Raw genomic sequence first — 21,349 nt, 5'->3', positions numbered from 1 at the left:
ATAAAGAAAAAAAGAAGAACCAAATAGACGAAATAAAAAATGATAAAGGGGTTATCACCACTGATCCCACAGAAATACAAACTACCATCAGAGAATACTACAAACACCTCTACGCAAATAAACTAGAAAATCTAGAAGAAATGGATAAATTCCTCGACACATACACTCTCCCAAGACTAAACCAGGAAGAAGTTGAATCTCTGAATAGACCAATAACAGGATCTGAAATTGTGGCAATAATCAATAGCTTACCAACCAAAAAGAGTCCAGGACCAGATGGATTCACAGCCGAATTCTACCAGAGGTACAAGGAGGAACTGGTACCATTCCTTCTGAAACTATTCCAATCAATAGAAAAAGAGGGATTCCTCCCTAACTCATTTTATGAGGCCAGCATCATCCTGATACCAAAGCCGGGCAGAGACACAACCAAAAAAGAGAATTTTAGACCAATATCCGCGATGAACATTGATGCAAAAATCCTCAATAAAATACTGGCAAACCGAATCCAGCAGCACATCAAAAAGCTTATCCACCATGATCAAGTGGGCTTCATCCCTGGGATGCAAGGCTGGTTCAATATACCTAAATCAATAAATGTAATCCAGCATATAAACAGAACCAAAGACAAAAACCACATGATTATCTCAATAGAGGCAGAAAAGGCCCTTGACAAAATTCAACAACCTTTCATGCTAAAAACTCTCAATAAATTAGGTATTGATGGGACGTATTTCAAAATAGTAAGAGCTATCTATGACAAACCCACAGCCAATATCATACTGAATGGGCAAAAACTGGAAGCATTCCCTTTGAAAACTGGCACAAGACAGGAATGCCCCCTCTCACCACTCCTATTCAACATAGTGTTGGAAGTTCTGGCCAGGGCAATTAGGCAGGAGAAGGAAATAAAGGGTATTCAATTAGGAAAAGAGGAAGTCAAATTATCCCTGTTTGCAGATGACATGATTGTATATCTAGAAAACCCCATTGTCTCAGCCCAAAATCTCCTTAAGCTGATAAGCAACTTCAGCAAAGTCTCAGGATACAAAATCAATGTACAAAAATCACAAGCATTCTTATACACCAATAACAGACAAACAGAGAGCCAAATCATGAGTGAACTCCCATTCACAATTGCTTCAAAGAGAATAAAATACCTAGGAATCCAACTTACAAGGGATGTGAAGGACCTCTTCAAGCAGAGCTACAAACCACTGCTGAAGGAAATAAAAGAGGATACAAACAAATGGAAGAACATTCCATGCTCATGGGTAGGAAGAATCAATATTGTGAAAATGGCCATACTGCCCAAGGTAATTTACAGATTCAATGCCATCCCCATCAAGCTACCAATGACTTTCTTCACAGAATTGGAAAAACTACTTTAAAGTTCATATGGAATCAAAAAAGAGCCCATATAGCCAAGTCAATCCTAAGCCAAAAGAACAAAGGCGGAGGCATCACAGTACCTGACTTCAAACTATACTACAAGGCTACAGTAACCAAAACAGCATGGTACTGGTACCAAAACAGAGAGAGAGATCAATGGAACAGAACAGAGCCCTCAGAAATAATGCCGCATATCTACAACTATCTGATCTTTGACAAACCTGAGAAAAACAAGCAATGGGGAAAGGATTCCCTATTTAATAAATGGTGCTGGGAAAACTGGCTAGCCATATGTAGAAAGCTGAAACTGGATCCCTTCCTTACACCTTATACAAAAATCAATTCAAGATGGATTAAAGACTTAAATGTTAGACCTAAAACCATAAAAACCCTAGAAGAAAACCTAGGCTTTACCATTCAGGATGTAGGCATGGGCAAGGACTTCATATCTAAAACACCAAAAGCAATGGCAACAAAAGACAAAATTGACAAATGGGATCTAATTAAACTAAAGAGCTTCTGCACAGCAAAAGAAACTACCATCAGAGTGAACAGGCAACCTACAAAATGGGAGAAAATTTTCACAACCTACTCATCTGACAAAGGGCTAATATCCAGAATCTACAATGAACTCAAACAAATTTACAGGAAAAAAACAACCCCATCAAAAAGTGGATGAAGGATATGAACAGACACTTCTCAAAAGAAGACATTTATGCAGCCAAAAAACACATGAAACAATGCTCACCATCACTGGCCATCAGAGAAATGCAAATCAAAACCACAACGAGATACCATCTCACACCAGTTAGAATGGCAATCATTAAAAAGTCAGGAAACAACAGGTGCTGGAGAGGATGTGGAGAAATAGGAACACTTTTACACCGTTGGTGGGACTGTAAACTAGTTCAACCATTGTGGAAGTCAGTGTGGCGATTTCTCAGGGATCTAGAACTAGAAACACCATTTGACCCAGCCATCCCATTACTGGGTATATACCCAAAGGACTATAAATCATGCTGCTATAAAGACACATGCACACGTATGTTTATTGCGGCATTATTCACAATAGCAAAGACTTGGAACCAACCCAAATGTCCAACAACGATAGACTGGATTAAGAAAATGTGGCACATATACACCATGGAATACTATGCAGCCATAAAAAATGATCAGTTCATGTCCTTTGTAGGGACATGGATGAAATTGGAAATCATCATTCTCAGTAAACTATCGCGAGAACAAAAAACCAAACACCGCATATTCTCACTCATAGGTGGGAATTGAACAATGAGAACACATGGACACAGGAAGGGGAACATCACACTCTGGGGCCTGTTGTGGGGTGGGGGGAGGGGGGAGGGATAGCATTGGGAGATATACCTAATGCTAGATGACGAGTTAGTGGGTGCAGCGCACCAGCATGGTACATGTATACATATGTAAGTAACCTGCACATTGTGCACATGTACCCTAAAACTTAAAAGTATAATAAAAAAAAGAATTGTTTCTTCTATTTCTGTGAAGAATGGTATTTTGATATTGTTATTTTGATAGGGACTGCATTAAATCTGTAGATTGCATTGGGTAGTATGGACATTTAAGCAATATTGATTGTTCCAATCCTTGAAAATGGAATATCTTTTTTTTGGTGTCTTCTTCAATTTCTTGCATCAATATTTTATAGTTTTCATTGTAGAGATTTTTCCCTTTAGTTAATTCCTAGGTATTTTATTTGTAGCTATTGTCAGTGGGATTACTTTCTTGATTTCGTTTTCAGATTGTTCACAGTTGGGATATATAAGTGCTACTGATTTTTGTATCTTGATTTTGTATCCTGCAACTTTACTAAATATGTTGATCAGTTCTAATAGTTTTTTGGTGGAGTCTTATGTTTTTTCCAAATATAAGATTGTATCATCTTCAAACAAGGATATTTGACTTCTTCCTTTCCAATTTGGATGCTCTTTATTTCATTCTCTTGTCTTCTGGTTGCTCTAACTATAACTTCCAGTACTATTTTGAATAACAGTGGTGACAGTGGGCATCCTTGTTGTGTTCCTGATCTTAGAGAAAAGGCTTTCCGTTTTTTCCCATTCAGCATGATATTAACTATTGGTCTTTTATATATGGCTTTTATTATGTTGTGTTATGTTCCTTCTATACCTAGTTTTTTGAGGGTTTTTATCATGAATGGCTGTTGAATTTATCGGCTACTTTTTCAGCATCAATTGAAATGATCATATGGTTTTTGTCCTTTAGTCCATTGATATGATGTATCAGATTAATTGATTTGCATGTGTTGAACCATTCTTGCATCCTGAGGATAAATCCCACTTGGTCATAATGAACAGTCTTTTTAATGTGTTGTTGAAGTCGGTTTTCTAGTGTTTTGTTCAATATTTTTGTGTCAGTATTCATCAGTGATATTGGCCTACAATTTTTTTTTTTTGATTGTCCGGTTTTGGTAGCAGGGTAATACTGGCATCATAGGATGAGTTTAGAATGGCTCATGGTTCAGTCCTTGTAGGTTGCATCTCTCTCTTTAGCTCTAATAATATTTGCTTTATATATCTGAGTGCTCCAGTGTTGGGTGCACATATATGTAAAATTGTTATACCTTTCTGATGTATCAATCCCTTTGTCATTATATAGTCAGCTTCTTTGACTCTTACAGTTTTTGTCTATATATACACACATACATACCTGGGTGCTCCAGTGGTGGCTTGGCAATACTCTCCATAGCTCTGTGGGATGATGGCCATGGGATGAGACTCCTCTGCCTCAGAAGGGGAGGGAAGAATGGGAAGGACTATGTTGCCAGATGTATGTCATTTATTTTCTCTCACTACTTTTAGGATCCTTTGTTTATCCTTGATGTTTGAAAGTTTGATTATTAAATGCCTTGATGTAGTCTTCTTTGGGTTAAACTGCTTGGTATTCTATAACTTTCTTGTATTTGGATATTGGTATCTTTCTCTAGGTTTGGGATGTTTTGTGTTATTATCCCTTTTACTAAACTTTCTACCCCTGTCTCTTTCTCTATCTCCTCTTTAGGGTTAATAAATTTTAGATTTGCCCTTTTGGGGCTATTTTTCTAGATCTCATAGGTGTGCTTCATTCTTTTTTATTCTTTTTCTTTTTGTTTCCTCTGACTGTGTATTTTCAAATGGTCTGTCTTCAGCCTCATTACTTATTTCTGCTGCTTGATCAATTCTGCTATTAAAAAACTCTGATGTATTTTTTAGTATGTTAATTGCGTTTTCCAACTCTAGAATTTCTGCTTGGTTCTTTTCAATTATTTCAACCTCTTTGTTAAATTTATCTGATAGAATTCTGATTTTCTTCTTTGTGTTATCTTGAATTTCTTTAAGTTTCTTCAACACAGCACTTTTGAATTCTTGGAAAGGTCACATATCTCTGTTTCTTCAAATAGGTTCCTGGTGTCTTATTTAGTTCATTTGTTGAGTTCATGTTTTCTTGGATGGTCTGGATGCTTATGTTTGTTTTTGTCTGGGTATTGAAGAGTTAGGTATTTATTGTAGTCTTCTCTATCTGGGCTTGTTTGTACCCATCCTTCTTGGAAAGGCTTTCCAGGTTTTCAAAATGACTTGAGTGTTGTGGTCTAAGTCATATCTGCATTAGGGGGCACCCCAAGCCCAATAGTGATGTGCTTCTTGCAGCCTCACAGAGGTACTGCCTTGGTAGTCTTGGATAAGATTCACAGGAATTCTCTGGATTACCAGGCAGACTCTTGTTCTTTTCCATTATGTTCTCTCAAACAAATGGAGTCTCTCTGTTCTGAGCTGTCTGGAGCTGGAGGTGGGGTGATATAAACACCTCTGTGCCCACCACCACCGGGACTGTGCTGGGTTAGACCTGAAGCCAGCATAACACTGGGTCTCGCCTAAGGCCCACTATAACCACTGCTTGGCTACTGCCTGTGTTTGCTCAAGGCCCTGGGGCTCCACAATCCAGCAAGTGGTGAAGCCAGCCAAGGTGGCAAGCTCCCCCAGGCACTAGGTCAGTCTAGAGATGCTGTCCAGGACTCAGGGATTAGAGTCAAAATCTTAGAAATCTACCTGGTGTTCTATTGTACTGTGGCTGAGCTGGCACTCAAACCATGAGACACAGTCCTTCCCATTCTTTCCTCCCCTTTCCACAGGCAGAGGAACCTCATCCCATGGCCACCACCCCCACAGGCCTATGGGGAGTATTGCCAGGCCACCATCAATATACCCTTAAGGTCCAATGGCTCTTCAGTCAGCTTATGGTGAATGTTGGCAGGCCTAGGACTCACCCTTCAGGACAGTGGTCTCTCCTCTGCCCCAGGGAAGGTGCATAGACGTTGTCTAAGAGCCAAGGCCTGAAATCAGGGACCCTGAAAGCCTGCTTGGTGCTTTACTTCTCTGTGGCTGAGCAGGTACCTAAGGTGAAAAACAAAGTCCTGTTTACTTTTCCCCCTACTTTTCTCAATCGGAAGGAGTCTCTCCCTGTAGCCATAGTAGCTGAGAATGTGCTGAGTCTCACCTGAAGCCAGCAAGCCTCAGAGTCTCACCCAAGGACCATGGTGTACTACTTGGTTATTTCTGCCAGTTGTTCAGGGCCCAAGGACTCTTTAGTCAGCAGGTGATGGGTCCTACGAGGACTGCATCCTTCCTTTCAGGCCAGTTGGTCTGCTTCTGGCCCAGCATGTGTCTAGAAATGTTGTCTGGGAGCTCAGGCCTGGAAATGGGGCCTCATGACTAACTGGTGCTGTATTGTGGCTGAGCTGGCATTCTAGATGCAGGTCAATGTCTTCTTTAGTCTTCCATCTTCTCTCCTCAAGCAGAAGGAAGGAATCTCTTTTGGAGCTGCAAGCTGTGCAGCCTCGGTTTGGCGGGGGATCAGTGCATGCACTCCCTTAGCTGTCCCAGCTGTTGTCTTAGTATGTCACATGCTCCCCAAGTCCATTGGTTCTGAGACCAGTTCAGCACAAGGACTTACCTAGGAGTTTCAATCTTTGTGGCCTAGACTGCCTTTCAAGTTTATTTAGAGTTTCAGAGCATTTTAGTCTTCAGTGGAAAGGCTTGCCAGAACTCAAGTTCCTACTGCCTGGATGGAATATCCCCCTCTGGCTAGGGCTGGTTTAAATATTCCCTCTGCGGGCAGGCATCTGCTGAGTTCAGCTTGGTTTTGCATTCTGCTGTGACGGGGCAGCACTGAGTTCAATGCAATGTCTCATAATTGCTGCACTCACCCTCTCATAAGGACTCAGATTCTCTCTTCATGCCATGCGGTCACTACCAGGAGATGGGAAAGGGGGTAATGTCGACAGTTTAAGACTCTTTCCTACTGTCTTCACTGCTCCTTTCAGCTATATAAAGTTAAAACCAGGAACTGGGAGTATTCACCTGATTTTTGGTTCTCATGAAGGTTGTTTCTTCGTGCAGATAGTTGTTAAATTGGGGGATGATTGGTGGAGACTTCTATTCAGCCAGCTTGCTCTGCTCCTCCTCCCGTTTACTTTTCTTTTAAAGGATAAGCCTTTTATTGTAGGTGGCTTCAAATTAACTTTGATAGTAAGAATTAATAATTGAAGTTTACTCCCATTACTGATAAGCATATTTTCCAAAATCTATCAGGTCTTGCTGAAATTCCATAAACGTCTTATGTGTTTGCTTACATGTTGTGTCATATGGGACCTAGTTCACTGGTGAATACCCAATGGTTAGAAGAGCACCTAGCACTGAGTAAGGTCTTACTAAACATTTGTTAAATTAATAAACAAATACATGAAAAAAAATACATTTAAAAATTCTGGCTCCAGCAATGGTTGGCCTACTAGGATCTTCATTTAAGCCAGTGGTTGTCAGCTGGGGGTAATTTTGTACTCCAGGGGACATTTGATAATGTCTGGAGACATTCTCAGTTTTTCCATTTGGGAAGAGACGATGTTACTGGCATCAAGTGGGTAGAGATCAGGGATGTTGCTAAAACCTGTAGACAGCCTCCGAGCACAAAGAATGAGCTGGCAGAATGAATAGTGCCGAAGTTGAGAAATGCTGACTTGAACCAAACAAGGTAGGTCATCACTATATGCCTGGGACCTCACCTGTGGCCATGGAGTTAGCAGCAGGCTTTCCATACTAGAAAAGTCAGTTGCATGCCCTAAACAGACATTAAATTTTGAAAACCTTAGTTTTGTTGCCCAGTAAAGCTTGCCAATGACTCACCAGTAGACAGTGTTATGTCAGCTGCAACAGCAGCTCTAACTACTGCCAGCGACCTGGCCCATTGTGAAAAATAGAGTATGAGGAGTCGAGATTGTTGAGAATTGAAAAGGCTAGAGACTGTTTCTCTGCTTGTTGGAACTGCTATTTCTTACGTTTTCTACTGTCATTGTTGCCATGGAGAACATTTTCTTTGAGCTAAAGGCGAATGAGACCAATCGCTCTCATAATGCACCGTCTTTCCACTGATGTGGTGGCCCCTTGGACCTGCCTCCTCCAATTTCTACAAGGCACCTTCACATTTGTCATCTCTGGAACAGACAGAAGCTTAAGGAATGGTCGATTGATGGATAGGAAACCAATTACCAGTTAAAAAGACCTTAAGGGTGGGTTGATTCCTGCCCTCATGTTATTTTGTAATGTCTATATTATACTGAGCAGCTAGCCAACTTAGAATGGCTTCCATTTAAGCACTTCAACAAAGTACTCTGTTTCCCACTAGCTTTCACTTGGAAATAACAAGAATGGGAGAATGGCTAAGTAGCTACCTTCCTTTAGTTATTATGCAGGAAGACATTTCTTCTCCATCATAAAAAATACAAATGTCTGGCTGATAGGAAAGATCTTGATATTAAACAAATCCTATTTGGTACTCAGCACCAGCAACTAATACATTATAGAAGTATTTGCTTTGCAAACAAAAACATACATAGCAAAAACAATTTCATTTTACAGAATAATTTTTAGTTTGTTGTTGCTGCCTTGATGCAATTATTTTATACCCAGACTATGACTAATCTGCTTGTCTTCTTTTATTGAACACTTACTATATGTTTCATCTGGGTTATCCCATTTAACCATAACACACTGCACACAGAGGTCATATGATTTGCCCAAGGTTATGTAGTTAGGACATGGCTCTGAGTGATGCTGATATATACTGCTTTAGAATTTATTTCTCATCATTTTAGTCCATTTTTTATTGTTACAAGATAATACCACAAACTGAGTAATTTATAATAGATATTTATTTGGCTCATGGTTCTGGAGCCCGGGAAGTTGAAGAGCATAGTGCTGGCATCTGGTGAAGGCCTTTGTGCTATGTCATTTCATGGTAGAAGAGCAAGAGAGAGTGAGATTGAGAAGGAAAGGCTGAACTCATCCTTTTTATCAGGAACCCACTCCCACAATAACTAATCTACTCCCGAGATAAGGCCATTAATCCATTTATGAGGGAAGACCCCTTATAACCTAGTTACCTCCTAGTTACCTCCTAATGGTCCCATCTTTCAACTCTGTTGCTTTGGGGATTAGCTTCCAACACATAAACTTTGGGGGACATATTCAAGCCATATCACTGATGAAAGTACTGTATTCTTTCTGGGTATGATGCATGTACAGGGCCATGCACATTTGGGGGCTAAATGCATACTTTCGATGATGATTGAGATGGTAACATTCCCACAGGAAATGGGAAATCAGTTGGTATTCTCCCTCACTGTGTTCAGGTGCTGGGTCCATGAACACTCCTCTTTTCTGTTGCTTGCATCAGACTTATCTGTGTGTTAACTAATGACCCAAAGTCATGCGAGGCCAGGGTCCCCTGGAGTATTTGCAAGGGGGCCTTGGCTCCATACATACTCCAATGACTTTGTGTTGAGGGTATTGTACACATATGAGTACTCCTCTCCACATGTAATTTCTTTTTTTTTTTTTTGTTTTTGAGATGGAGTCTTGTTCTGTCGCCCAGGCCGGAGTGCAGTGGCGTGATCTCCGCTCACTGCAAGCTCCGCCTCCCGGGTTCATGCCATTCTCCTGCCTCAGCCTCCCGAGTAGCTGGGACTACAGGCACCCGCCACCACACCCGGCTAATTTTTTGTATTTTTTTAGTAGAGATGGGGTTTCACCATGTTAGCCAGGATGGTCTCGATCTCCTGACCTCGTGATCCGCCCACCTCGGCCTCCCAAAGTGCTGGGATTACAGGTGTGAGCCACCGTGCCCAGCCTCCACGTGTCATTTCATGCAGTGACCTTACACTTTATGCTGAGCATGAGATGAAAAATGCAGATTGGTTTAATCTTAGTGGGCTTGGTTTTCAGGGCCTCTTAGTATGAGCATCTTGCCTGTGGGAAACACGTGATCCCAGTGTTGAAGATACACAGTATTCCTACGGTATGGCTCTAAATACAAGACACCTATTTTATCTCGGGCTTGGGTGAGAAGCAAGCCATCTGCTCTAGTGCTGGGAGAAGGCTGTCTGTGTTGGACTGACTTATGGAGAGACAGTGCCTAGGTGTCTAGCATACCTGGGGCCTTCCTAGTGGTTTGGCTTTCTGTGATGGTCCCTTATTTTTGAATCTAACCTCCTGCACTCTTTCTGAAGTGTGTATGATGCTATTGTGACTAATAAAAGACAGTGTGCTGAATTCATAACAATTTTTTCATTATTATTTTCTCAGTTAATAGACGCTAAAATACAACTGACCTTCAATAGAGGTCATTAAATTAGGAGTCATCTTTTTGGAAAAGGCTGGAAGCTGTTAACCTGGAGCTGTAGCTGCAACAGATTCCCAAGCCAAGCTGAAAGTCTGTGTTGGCCTCTGCCCCCAAAAGGCTGAGGTGCTCTAGAGTTTGGGTAAAGTATAGTTAATTGGACTTTAATTCTTTGAAAATGGACGAGCTCAATAGGACTTGTGTGATCGCTCTTGGTTAATCAGATTGTTAAATTTACTGACCTCCTTTTCCCATACTCATTTCCAGGACAGATTCAGGCTATGTCTGCCTGTTTTGATGCATGCAATTTACTTTAAAATCCTGCAGTACAGGGAGCGTGATGATTTGTATATGTCAATTGGCTTAAACTACACTCGAGGGGCAGTCCGCGGTCCTGACCAGGAATCTACATTCTGAGAGTGGACTCCAGCATTTAATCAGAAAGGCCACACTCCTGAGGCTGTTCCCAGAAGGGCGTCTTCATCTTTCTTTACCACTGAACTTTGATCATCACTAGAGACTTTGCTAATTAGCTCAAAGAAAGTTCCAAATGGGTTTTCATTGGTGAAAAAAAAGGGCTCGTTATTTAGCATAATGGATATAATAAGTGAGTTCTCACTGGTGAGTATTCAAGATGAGAGGTTTGGCTAAGATATTTTCCCGAAGCTCCTCATCCTTGCCTGAAGGGGATCTGAACAGCTTGCAGACGCTGTCCCCTTCTCCCACAGGGATGGTACTTGAGACTTGATCCCCCAAACATTCGTTCATTCAGCTGATAGTTTGGAGGATTTGGGTTGCCTGATGATCATTGTGAGATTAGCTCTCTCCTGCCTCTTGAGTGCTGTCATAACTGCCTGGGGTGAGTGGTCCATGTGAGGTGTGGTCAGGACACCTACAAGGACAGGCAGCTGGGATTTTGTTGATCTTAAACATCAAGTTTTAGAGCCTAGTGTCTGCTTACTAATAAGTGTCTGCATATGGCACAGGGTTTGGTCTGAGAAGTGCTTTTATTATAACCTGGTAGCAAAGTTGCAGGAGAGTAGCTAATTATCAACCTCCTCCAACTACTGATGGACATGAACGTCAGTAACTACCACGAAGAACTAAATATGTGCACATGGTGAGATTGGCTTATGTTAGTTTACACTCCCTGGCAAAAGTACTACCTTTTGCACAAATGGGAGGGATTTTGTTTTCCACTTTATGTAAGATCCGTTTAAGTAACAACCTGGACAACCAAATCCCTAGCAAATTACATCTTACTTAGTGAAGAGGCACAACTTTCATCTTTAATATAAGCCTCGATTCCCCATGAAATCTGAAGCCATCTTTTCATCTTACACATCACCTTGGGGTCAGAGAAGGAACACACCACTCCAGGCCTGTCTCCCAGGATCCTAGGACTCTGTGGAATGCATCCCTTTCCCTAGAAAAAGAAGACAAACTTTTGCTTTGGTTAACTTTGTTAATTTTATGTGTCAACTTGACTGGGCCATGGGCTGCCTGGACATCTGGTTAAACATTATTTCTGGGTTGGGCTGTGAGGGCGTTTCTGGAAGAGATTAGCATTTGAATCAAGTTAAACAGTTAACTTGATTGGACTCACTTAAGCAGTTTGCCCTTCCCAAAGTGAGGGTCTGAATATTTATTGACAAAAAGGCAGAAGAAGGTTGAATTCTGTCTCTCTGCCTGACTTGAGTTGGGACATCAGTCTTCTCTTGCTCTTGGACCGGGACTTACACCATCAGGACTCCTGGTTCTCAGGCCTTTGGACTTAGACTGGAATTTATATGAACAGCTTTCCTGGGTCTCCAGATTGCAGACAGCAGATTGTGGGATTTCTCAGTCTCCATGATCTCCTTTGCCAATTCCTTATAATTATATGTGTGCATATATATATATATATATATATATATATTCAGTTTTTCAGGAGAACCCTAACAAATACTGGAGCAATGAGACTATATCCACTTCCCAGAAAGCTACCTCTTACAGTCCTTGTTCAGTACTACCTACCTCCAGCTTTCTTTTTATGAATTATAGTCCCTCCAGCTGGTCACGTGGCAACCTCCTACTCATCCTACAGGCTGTAGCTGAAATGGCACCTCCTCAGGGGGCCCCTCTCAGGTTACTCTGTCTACATAGGCTCTTTTGTATTAGTTTCTATCTCTATCCCCTGTTTCTGTTACGTGATTTTATATAATTAGTTATTAATTTGTTCATTTGTTGACCACCTGACATTCCCACTAGACTACAATCTCCTCGAGGGCAAGAACCTTGATCATTTTGCTCACCACCACAGCTAGGCACAGAGCAGGCACTGAATACATGTATTGTGAGTGAATAAATGAATGCATAGTTTCTTTGCCACTTGTAATCAACAATGAATCACAGGGTGCGACTCAAGAGGAAGTGAGCTTTGCTTTGAGAAAACTCAATACAGAATCATCTGAGAAGAAGGGATGCTGACTGAATATTCCCGTTATTTTAGAGCAATAAATAATCATCTTTGATGAGGCCATTTTGCTGCCCTCTCCCGCATGGGGCATGTGCTAATGCACGGGGACATTTTCAATTTTTGCACCTGGGTTGGTGTTACTAGCATCCAATGAGTAGAAGCCAGGGATGCTGCTGGACATCCTGCAACATACAGGACAGCCCCTCACATCAGAGAATTATCTGGCCCAAATGCCTGTCACTAGCACGAAGGTTGAGAAATCCCATCTGAGAGTAATCATATTTACCATGTTTCAATTACCAACTTCCAATGACTCAAAGTCCAAGAAAATATACTTAACACAAGTCAGCATTCTTTGGCAATTATAGAGACATTTAAATTTTTTAAATGACCTCAGGCTGTTGATCTATCCATGATTCAACCACACTATAGCTATATGTAATCTTAGGGATTGGCTGAATTGACCCACTTAAATACACAGTAAACAGTTAACAATCTTTGATACAAACTCGTCATTTGCTTTTCCCAAAGTAAGGATACAGAAAAATTCCTTTTACTTGTTATGAACTTGTTTTCAGTCTGTTCAGATCTACCAAAATGAAAAATTGAAGCTAATAAGATCCATAAATGAGATGACGACTATTCACATGACTAAGTGATTCTTCTTTTTGCAGAAAGATTCTCTGCCAGTTTCCTTTAAACAGTTGGCTCCTTTCATGCATTTAAAATCTAACTCGGTTTACAAAAGCATTAATTTATGTGCGCATTTCAGGCTCACCGCCATTGTGAAAACTAACTACATCTTTCATGAGGAGTGCATCCCTGCCTTGCCTCTCAAAGATAATTCTCCTGTTTCTTGGTTTTCTCTTCAGATTGTGGTTTCTTTGGAGGGCAAGATCCGTGTCTCTAGAATGTTTGGTTCTGCTTTTGGCATCCTAGACATTTCAGGATGTCAATAAATATTTATTGATGCTGATGAGGTGAACAGAACCAGACAGGTGCATTCTTACTCTCTTGTCATGTGCTTTATGGAACTTTTATTTTTTTTTATCAGCATCTTCCAAGAGGGTACCAAGAAACTCTCTTCTTTAGACACTCAGCCTCTCCCAGGGACTGAGATGCTTTTGGGGCTCCCTGGGACCACCCTTTTCCAATTTAGCCCTTGCTACTCTCCTGCCAAATGTTCCCCAGGCATAATTACCATTCACACATCATTTTCAAACTATCTCAGCTGCAGGGGGTGGGCTTAGCCTTGATCCCTAAAAGCATGGTCTCCATTGTGTGAAATACTTTTGCAAGAGGGGATTAAGCATGTAGTTAATATCTCAATACCACAGTGAAGAACTCAAGAGACGGAAAGTTTTCATTTGCCCCCCATAAGAGGCATGAAAAGCAATAGCTCTCAAAGTGTGGTCCTCTGACCAGCAGCATCAGCATCCCCCAGGACTTGTCCCAAATGTAGCTTGCTTGGCCCTACCGCAGACCAACTAACTGAACCTGGAACTCTGAGATGGGGCCCAGCTGTGTTTTAGTAAGCCCTCCAGGTGTTTCTGATGCACACTAACGTTGGAGAACAACTATGCTAGAGGCTCAAGCTTCTTTATGAGTGTTGAGCTCATCACCTACCCCTGGTTCAATAGTGTCCATTATGTCTTATAGAAGATACGAGCTGGGGGCTGGGCTAGGTGGTTCACACCCCTAATCTCAGCACTTTGGGAGGCTGAGGTGGGTGGATTGCTTGAGCCCAGGAGTTTGAAATCAGCATGGACAACACAACAAAACTCCATCCCTACTAAAAATACAAAAATTAGCCAGGCGTGGTAGCACATGCCCGTAGTCCCAACTACTCAGAAGGCTGAGGTAAGAGGATCACCTAAGCCCGGGAGGTCCAGGCTGCAGTGAGCCATGATCTCAACTCCAGTCTGGGTGACAAAGTGAGACAGTGTCTCAAACTTAAATAAAAAAGAGAAGATACAAATTAACTTCATGACTCTCCAAAGAAACCTCAGAGATCCCTGGCAGTCCCAGGTTTTTCAGCCCAATAGGTAGGTGGACACACATGTAAAAGAGGCAACAGGTTTACCACTCAGAGGGAAAAGTAATCGTGTCTATACCCCCCAGGAGCAAGGCTTTCCTAGCATGCCCTGCACAAGATAGCTGTCCCCTCCCCAAACCACCCTCTTGGTCTTCCATGGCAGAGGTTCCTTGGGGGAAGGGAGGGAGAGGAGAACTGAGCCTCAGCTCAGATCCCTGAATGATACTCAGGGGCTGAGCAGCTTGCTGCCTGGGGGTGGCCACACTCACTGAACAACAGCTTGGCAGCCTTCATGTGTTCTGTGCAGTGCCTGGGCCTCCTGAAGGAAGGTCCTTGCCCACCCTCCACCCTACCCAGGACCAGTCCTCCCCACTTCTTCCTCTCCTTCACTAGCCAGGATGGCCCATCTCCCTGCCCACCTCCCAACCCTGCTCTCCCTCAAGCCTTGGTCTTCTCTAGTTCCTGGGGGTGGAAAGACATCCACCCTCTGTGGAAACCACTGACCCTTTCCATCCAGCATTTGGGTTGGTTGTTTTTGTCTAACCCTCTTGGTGTCTAGTGCAAAGATTCATGGCTGATTGTGGGCTGGAGAGGGGCCAAAAGGCCTCTCATGCACGTGTGGGGAGGTGGAATGCACCCACAGTACAAGGATTTACACTGTGCATGTAATCCCAGCAGGCAGTGTTAGAGCCAGTTGTTTCTGGATTAATTTATTTAGCTATTACATTGATAGTGACTTAGACTAAGCACCATCATGAAAACACAAATTACTGTAACAATGGCTTGCTTCTTTGAGATTTACATGTTTTTAGTGGAATGCATACCTGAAAGCAGTTCCAGATTCCCCTACAGGTGCATGGGGACGTTGGGCTTACTTTGCATAACTGGCACAAGGGCTGTGGTCAGGTTTATTTCCTTTGGATCCTTGCTCAGCTTTCCTCTTTGCTAAATACCTTCCTCGAGAGATGTGCTGTGTCTTTGTTAAACAAGGCTGCCCTTAAAGGGCAATTCATCATTCGCAACCCATCATGGCCTTGCAGGAGACAAGGTCCCGTCCAGTCTGCCCTTTCCCCATTTTTTCTTCCTTCTAAATGCCCCTCTTCCCTTTTACCATTCTCCAGATGGAGAAGCCGCTTCACAAATCTTGGCTAGCACATTTCAAGGCTCCTTCTTTGAAGCGGACTAGCTTCAGCTCCACAGATTTCTCCACAGATTTCTCGTGGAGGCTGCATTTTAAACAATAGGCTCATGCACATCCTTTAAGGTAAATACAGTCGTGCAAGCACTTGGATAGTGTTAAAGTTAATGACCTGGCATTGAGCGAGGAAACTGAAGAGCGAACGATACATTTTTGACATTTCTGCCACCCAGACAGCAGTGGCTGCTTTGCTCTCACACACACACACAAAATCGAGAACATTTCTCCTGAGAGGAAATGTTCTGATTCAGGATCTCTTATTTTGCATTTAGAAATGTGTCTCCATCTGATTCTTTCCTGAGGCTACGCTGCAGAAACACATCTTGGTGTAAGACACCTTCCATCTCTAGCAGTTGCTAGTGAGCTAATGAAAGTCAATACTATTTATTCAACTCCCGGGAAGCCCAGCGCTCCCTATTAGCCACTGTTTGAAATGTGGACCAAAGAAAGGTGACCCGGATAAGATCAGGACCAGAAATGGTCCTGCCTGACACAGGTACTATTAATATACTTGGAGAGAACTACCTAACACGGGCACCGTTAATGTACTTGGAGAAAAAAAAAGCCAGTACCTCTCTACCTGGCCATCCCTTAATCCTCTTTTATGATGGATTGTTTAACAAGTAAAGGGCTGTAAATTGAGTGAGTTGCTTTAGACACTATAAAAATCGATTGTTGAAAGTTGAAGCGAAGCCTTCTCTTTCTTCAGTTTGGGTGCATGGTCGTAGTCCAGGCCAAGAACTCCAAGGAGCCAACAGCCTGAGGTAGGATTGAGCCAGAGGCTTAGGAGGGAGGAGGCATCACAGGTGACACCCATCTATGTAAATTACCCAGATCCCCACATTCTGCATCTGAGCTATCAAGAAAGCTGTTTCTCTAGGTCCCATGGGTTGTTAGCAGGCTTCAGTTATGTGTAAATTGTGAAAGCTGATTGTACGGTTGGCAAAATGGTCAGAGACCTAGAAGCTTTGTTGATGACCACATCATGGGAGTGCCTAATGGATGGATCATTCATAAACACTCTGACAACAAACACGAAGTGAAAATGCACTTCTAGGTAAACAGCTGCTTGCATCTGAGTGATGCACAAAGCTAAAATCCGGCTCTCAGGGATGCATCCCGTCTGTAAACACTGGGGTCACTGCTGCCTTCCAAAGACAACACTGCTTTACAGAGCCACACAGAGATGCCACATGGTGGTTGAGAAGCCAAGCTTGTCCCTGCTCCTGTTTTCTTTCCTTGCACCGTATACCCTCATAGCAGTCAACAAACACATTGAATGCCCCTAGATAATGTTATGTGTTGTATCTGCACGTACAGATAGAAAAATCCATCAGGCAGATCTTCACAGTAGACCTGGTTGGCAAACCCCACGTTCGCAAGTAAGGAAACCCTAGCTTGGGGGTGAAACCAAGATGTGAACTTAGATTTCAAGCTCTCGCTATCCCACTTTCTCCTTTCAGGCTTCTTACATTTTTACGTAGCCTGGTTCATTTTGAAAGATATAAAGGGGTCAAGGTTCAGATACAATCAAACTGAAAAGTCTCCAAGGATCTGAGAGAAGGCAGCACTTAGGGACTACATTGAAAATGGAAGCACAGGTGAGTGTGCATGTTTAGGGGGCAGGAGTCTCCCTGGACTCCCCTGCTTGCCTCCTGCCATCAAATCACGCAACACCGCTGGACAACATTGTGTTTGCACTAAGCTGGTCTAGGGCTCAGCTTTTGATTGGTAGGCATGGCAGCCAAGAAGAGAAGGGGTGGGGTGATGTTGACATGGTTACTGATTCAGCCCAGGCTCTGCAGTCCGATGGCCAGAGAAACGACAAGGGTGACCAGTAGGCTGGAGGCAAGGGCTCCACCCTCAAGCCTGGGACCATGGTCCAAAGTGAGAACTTACACCCCTATTTTCCTGCTCAAATGTTGCCTTTTCCAAAACCACCCATGGCCCAGCCCGCCCCCCATCCTGTCCCCATAAAAACCCCAGGCTCCATCAGAGAGAAGAGGAGAAGCAGCTGGACGTTGGAGGCTACAGTTGGACATTGGAGAGAAGTAGCTTGCCTTCAGAGGGACAGCTTGACAGTGCGACCTCAGAGAAGAGTCTGGCTGCAGGTAGCCGGACTTCAGGGGAAGAATACCTTCTCGCTCCATCTCCCTTCCAGCTTCCTTTCCCGCTGAGAGCCTTTTTCTTTTTTTGGAGACAAGAGTCTTGCTCTGTCACCTCGGCTGGAGTGCAGTGGTGTGATCTTAGTTCACTGCAACCTCCGCCTCCTGTGTTCAAGCAGTTCTCCTGCCTCAGCCTCCCAAGTAGCTGGGATTACAGGCGCGTGCCACCACGCCTCGCTAATTTTTGTATTTTAGTAGAGACAGGGTTTCACCATGTTGGCCAGGCTAGTCTTGAACTCCTGACCTCGTGATCTGCCTGCCTCGGCCTCCCAGAGTGCTGGGATTACAGGCATGAGCCACTGTGCCCGGCTAGCCATTTTCATTGGCAATAAGATCCTCTGCATTCACTGCCCTTCCATTCGTTTGTGAGACCTGATTTTTCCTGGATGCTGAACAAGAGCTTGGGTACCAGGGGTGCAGATGCAAAAGGCTGTCACACTGACCATCTGCCCTTGCTGGTGGAAAGCAGCCACCTCATGTGAAAAGGCAGAGAGTCTACTGAGCTGTTAACACTTAAGCCATCCGTGGATGGCAGAGCTCAAAGAGCACTGTAACACATGCCTTCTGGGGCTTCATTGATGGTGGGCACCCCTCTAAATGCTGGTGCGGCGTTTCTTCCCGCTGGCACACAAAAGTGCTCGCCCACGGCTCCTGCACCCGCTCACACTTGTGTGTTCCCTCCCACAAGGGGTTAAGTGCAGCAAGTTTGAGTGAATGGAGTCTGCCCCTGCTGGCGCCGAAGCAGCTGGCTAGCTCCAGTGCCCGCCCTCCAGTTCCCGCCAGTGAAGGGCTTAGGAAAGATATCCTGCTTCACAGCTATGATACTTTTCTTGAAAATCTTCCAAGTTTCCTATATACAGAGAAAGACTGACCATTTAATTGCCCGGGAAACTTGTCACCCCTTGCACTGTCCCAGCAAGATTTGAACTGGTCACCCTGAATAGCCAACAGCTTCAATGAAGATGAGCTACGACATTTCAGTTTTCATTTGTACGTTCAGAGGGTTCCATAAGAGCCATAGACAAAAATAAACCACACTTAACTGCCAAACCATTTCCACAGACTTTTATGAATATCTTCTCTGCTAACTTTCCACTGTAAAGGATTATGTTTAGATCTTTAGTTTTTAAATGGGAACAGCTGCAATGGACTACCAGACAGCTTTAATGAACAGATGTGTATTTCTGGAGAAATCGATTTTCCTTTTTATTATGTCACCAGATTTGCTGTATTTCCAAGCAATTTACATTTTAGGCTATGACTCGTGTATGAACTAACAATAATAACTGTGGCCTCCAGGTAGGGAAATCTATCTCATCAGAAAGATCTGCTGGGCAAGGCGAAATTTTGAGTCGTTATTATTAGCAATATGCCATAAGAGGAATATCTATCTACACTTTATGACCTAACTGCTGTATTAGCCACTTCTGCAGTCCCACTGGAGGAAGTCTTTTTGTTTTGAGTTAGTCTAGAAAGTATTATTTTTTAACCCGGAGGTTCTTAACTGAGGCAATTTGGCTCCTCAAGGGATATTTGGTAATGTCTGAAGACGTTTGTGATTGTTATGACTGGGGAAAGGTGCTCCTGGCATCTAGTGAGTAGAGGCTGGGGACGCTGCTAAACATCCTGCAATGCACAGGACAGTCCCCACCACAAGGAATTACCTGCCACAAATTTCAGTAGTGCCGAGGTTGCAAAACTTTGCAGTTATGAGTTGAATTGCATTACCCAAAAAGATAATGTTGACGTTTTAACCCCCAGGGTCTCAGTGTATGACGTTATTTGGAAATAGAATCATTGCAGATGTAATTAATTAAGATGAGGTCATGCTGGAGTAGGGTGGGCCCTTAATCCAACACAGCTGGTGACCTTGAAAGACCCCCCCCCCCCCCACCCCGGGGGGAGGGGGTGGGCGCCGGGGCGCGGTGGCTCACACCTGTAATCCCAGCACTTTAGGAGGCCGAGGCGGGCGGATCATGAGGTCAGGAGATTGAGACCATCCTGGCTAACATGGTGAAAACCCGTCTCTACTAAAAATACAAAAACAAAATTAGCCAGGCATGGTGGCGGGCACTTGTAGTACCAGCTACTCGGGAGGCTGAGGCGGGAGAATGGCTTGAACCCGGGAGGCGGAGTTTGCAGTGAGCCGAGATGGTGCCACTGCACTCCAGTCTGGGCAACAGAGTGAGACTCCGTCACAAAAAAAAAAAAGAGAGGGGGCCGGGCATGGTGGCTCATGCCTACAATTCCAGCACTTTGGGACGTCAAGGTGGGAAGATCACTTAAGGCCAGGAGTTCAAGACCATCCTGGCCAACATAGTCAGAACCTCTCTCTAAAACAAACAAACAAAACAAAACAAAAAAACAGAGGAAGGATGAAGTGAAGACACACACAGGGAGAATGCCATGCAAGACAGAGGCAGAGATTGACGTGATGCGGCCACAAGCCAAGGAACACCAGGAGCTGAAAGAGACAAGGAACAATTCTTCCCTAGAAGCTTCAGATGAAGCATGTCCCTGACGACAACTTGTCTTTCACCTTCTGGCCTCCAGAACTCAGAGAGAATGAATTTCTGTTGTTTTAAGTCACCCAGTTTGTGGTACATTATTATAGCAGCCCCAGGAAATAAATATATATCCCTTAGGCAAATAAAATTTTTTTTCTTAGAATGATGGTGGTCATGTTTTTCTAGGGAAATTTGCTGTTTCCTCTTTATGGATCCCTTTCCTATATACTGTTATGCTAAATAACTCTATTAGGCCAGCATCATTATTCCCATTTTAGAGATGAATAATAACAGTAGTGAACATTTGTTCAGAAATGTATTGTGTGTGCCAGTGCTCATGCTGCATGCTTCACAAACATTATCCCATTCGATCGTTGTAGTGGCTCTAGGAGGCAGCGGCTATAATTACCCCCATTTTGCAGTGGAAGAAACTGAGGCATAGATTAGTAAATCGTGTTCCCCTTAGTTCCACAAGTGGCAGGTAGAGGGAGTTTTAACCCAGTGACTCTGGCTCCTGAGCCCTTACTCTTAACTGCATGCTTTCCAGCTCTGATGCATCAGCGGCAGAAGGACCCAAAAGGTACATGTGCAACCAGTTAGTGCCGGGGGCATGACCTCCATGATCCTGTCAACAACACATCTCTAATGAAAAGGGCCTTAACACAACGCAGTTCCTAAACCACATCCCACATGAAAACGGTACTGAGGCAAAAGAAAAGTAAGAAACATTGTAAGAAACATTACCTGCTATATCTCTCTCTTCCAAATTAAAAAAAAAAAAAAAAATATTGTGAGTAAAGGCTCTGATAAGGCATGCATTTACCAAAAAATACATACACACATACACGCAAAATACACAACCGTTTATGGTGTTTAATCCAGTGGTTC

General features: G+C 43.2%; 1 protein-coding gene and 1 long non-coding RNA gene across 7 annotated transcripts in view, besides 2 other annotated features; one reads left to right on the top strand and one right to left on the bottom strand.

Moving 5' to 3' along the window:
• Nucleotides 1-21,349, bottom strand: part of KAZN (kazrin, periplakin interacting protein) — a 1,225,220-nt gene that overhangs the window by 732,829 nt on the left and 471,042 nt on the right. The gene's annotated exons all lie outside the window — the stretch shown is intronic.
• The window catches only part of KAZN-AS1 (KAZN antisense RNA 1), a 71,019-nt gene that overhangs the window by 34,759 nt on the left and 14,911 nt on the right, over nucleotides 1-21,349 (top strand). The gene's annotated exons all lie outside the window — the stretch shown is intronic.
• Nucleotides 11,461-12,326: an enhancer, noted in NCBI's record as "NANOG-H3K4me1 hESC enhancer chr1:14699385-14700250 (GRCh37/hg19 assembly coordinates)". NCBI's record gives its function as "activates a minimal SCP1, AML or CMV promoter by ChIP-STARR-seq in naive H9 embryonic stem cells {active_cell/tissue: H9 hESC(naive)}" and the evidence as "EXISTENCE:reporter gene assay evidence [ECO:0000049][PMID:30033119]".
• Nucleotides 14,492-15,170: an enhancer, noted in NCBI's record as "H3K27ac hESC enhancer chr1:14696541-14697219 (GRCh37/hg19 assembly coordinates)". NCBI's record gives its function as "activates a minimal SCP1, AML or CMV promoter by ChIP-STARR-seq in primed H9 embryonic stem cells {active_cell/tissue: H9 hESC(primed)}" and the evidence as "EXISTENCE:reporter gene assay evidence [ECO:0000049][PMID:30033119]".

This window comes from Homo sapiens, chromosome 1 (genome assembly GCF_000001405.40).
Source record: "Homo sapiens chromosome 1, GRCh38.p14 Primary Assembly".
Lineage (NCBI taxonomy): Eukaryota > Metazoa > Chordata > Mammalia > Primates > Hominidae > Homo > Homo sapiens.
This window is presented reverse-complemented; position numbering and strand designations above follow the sequence as displayed.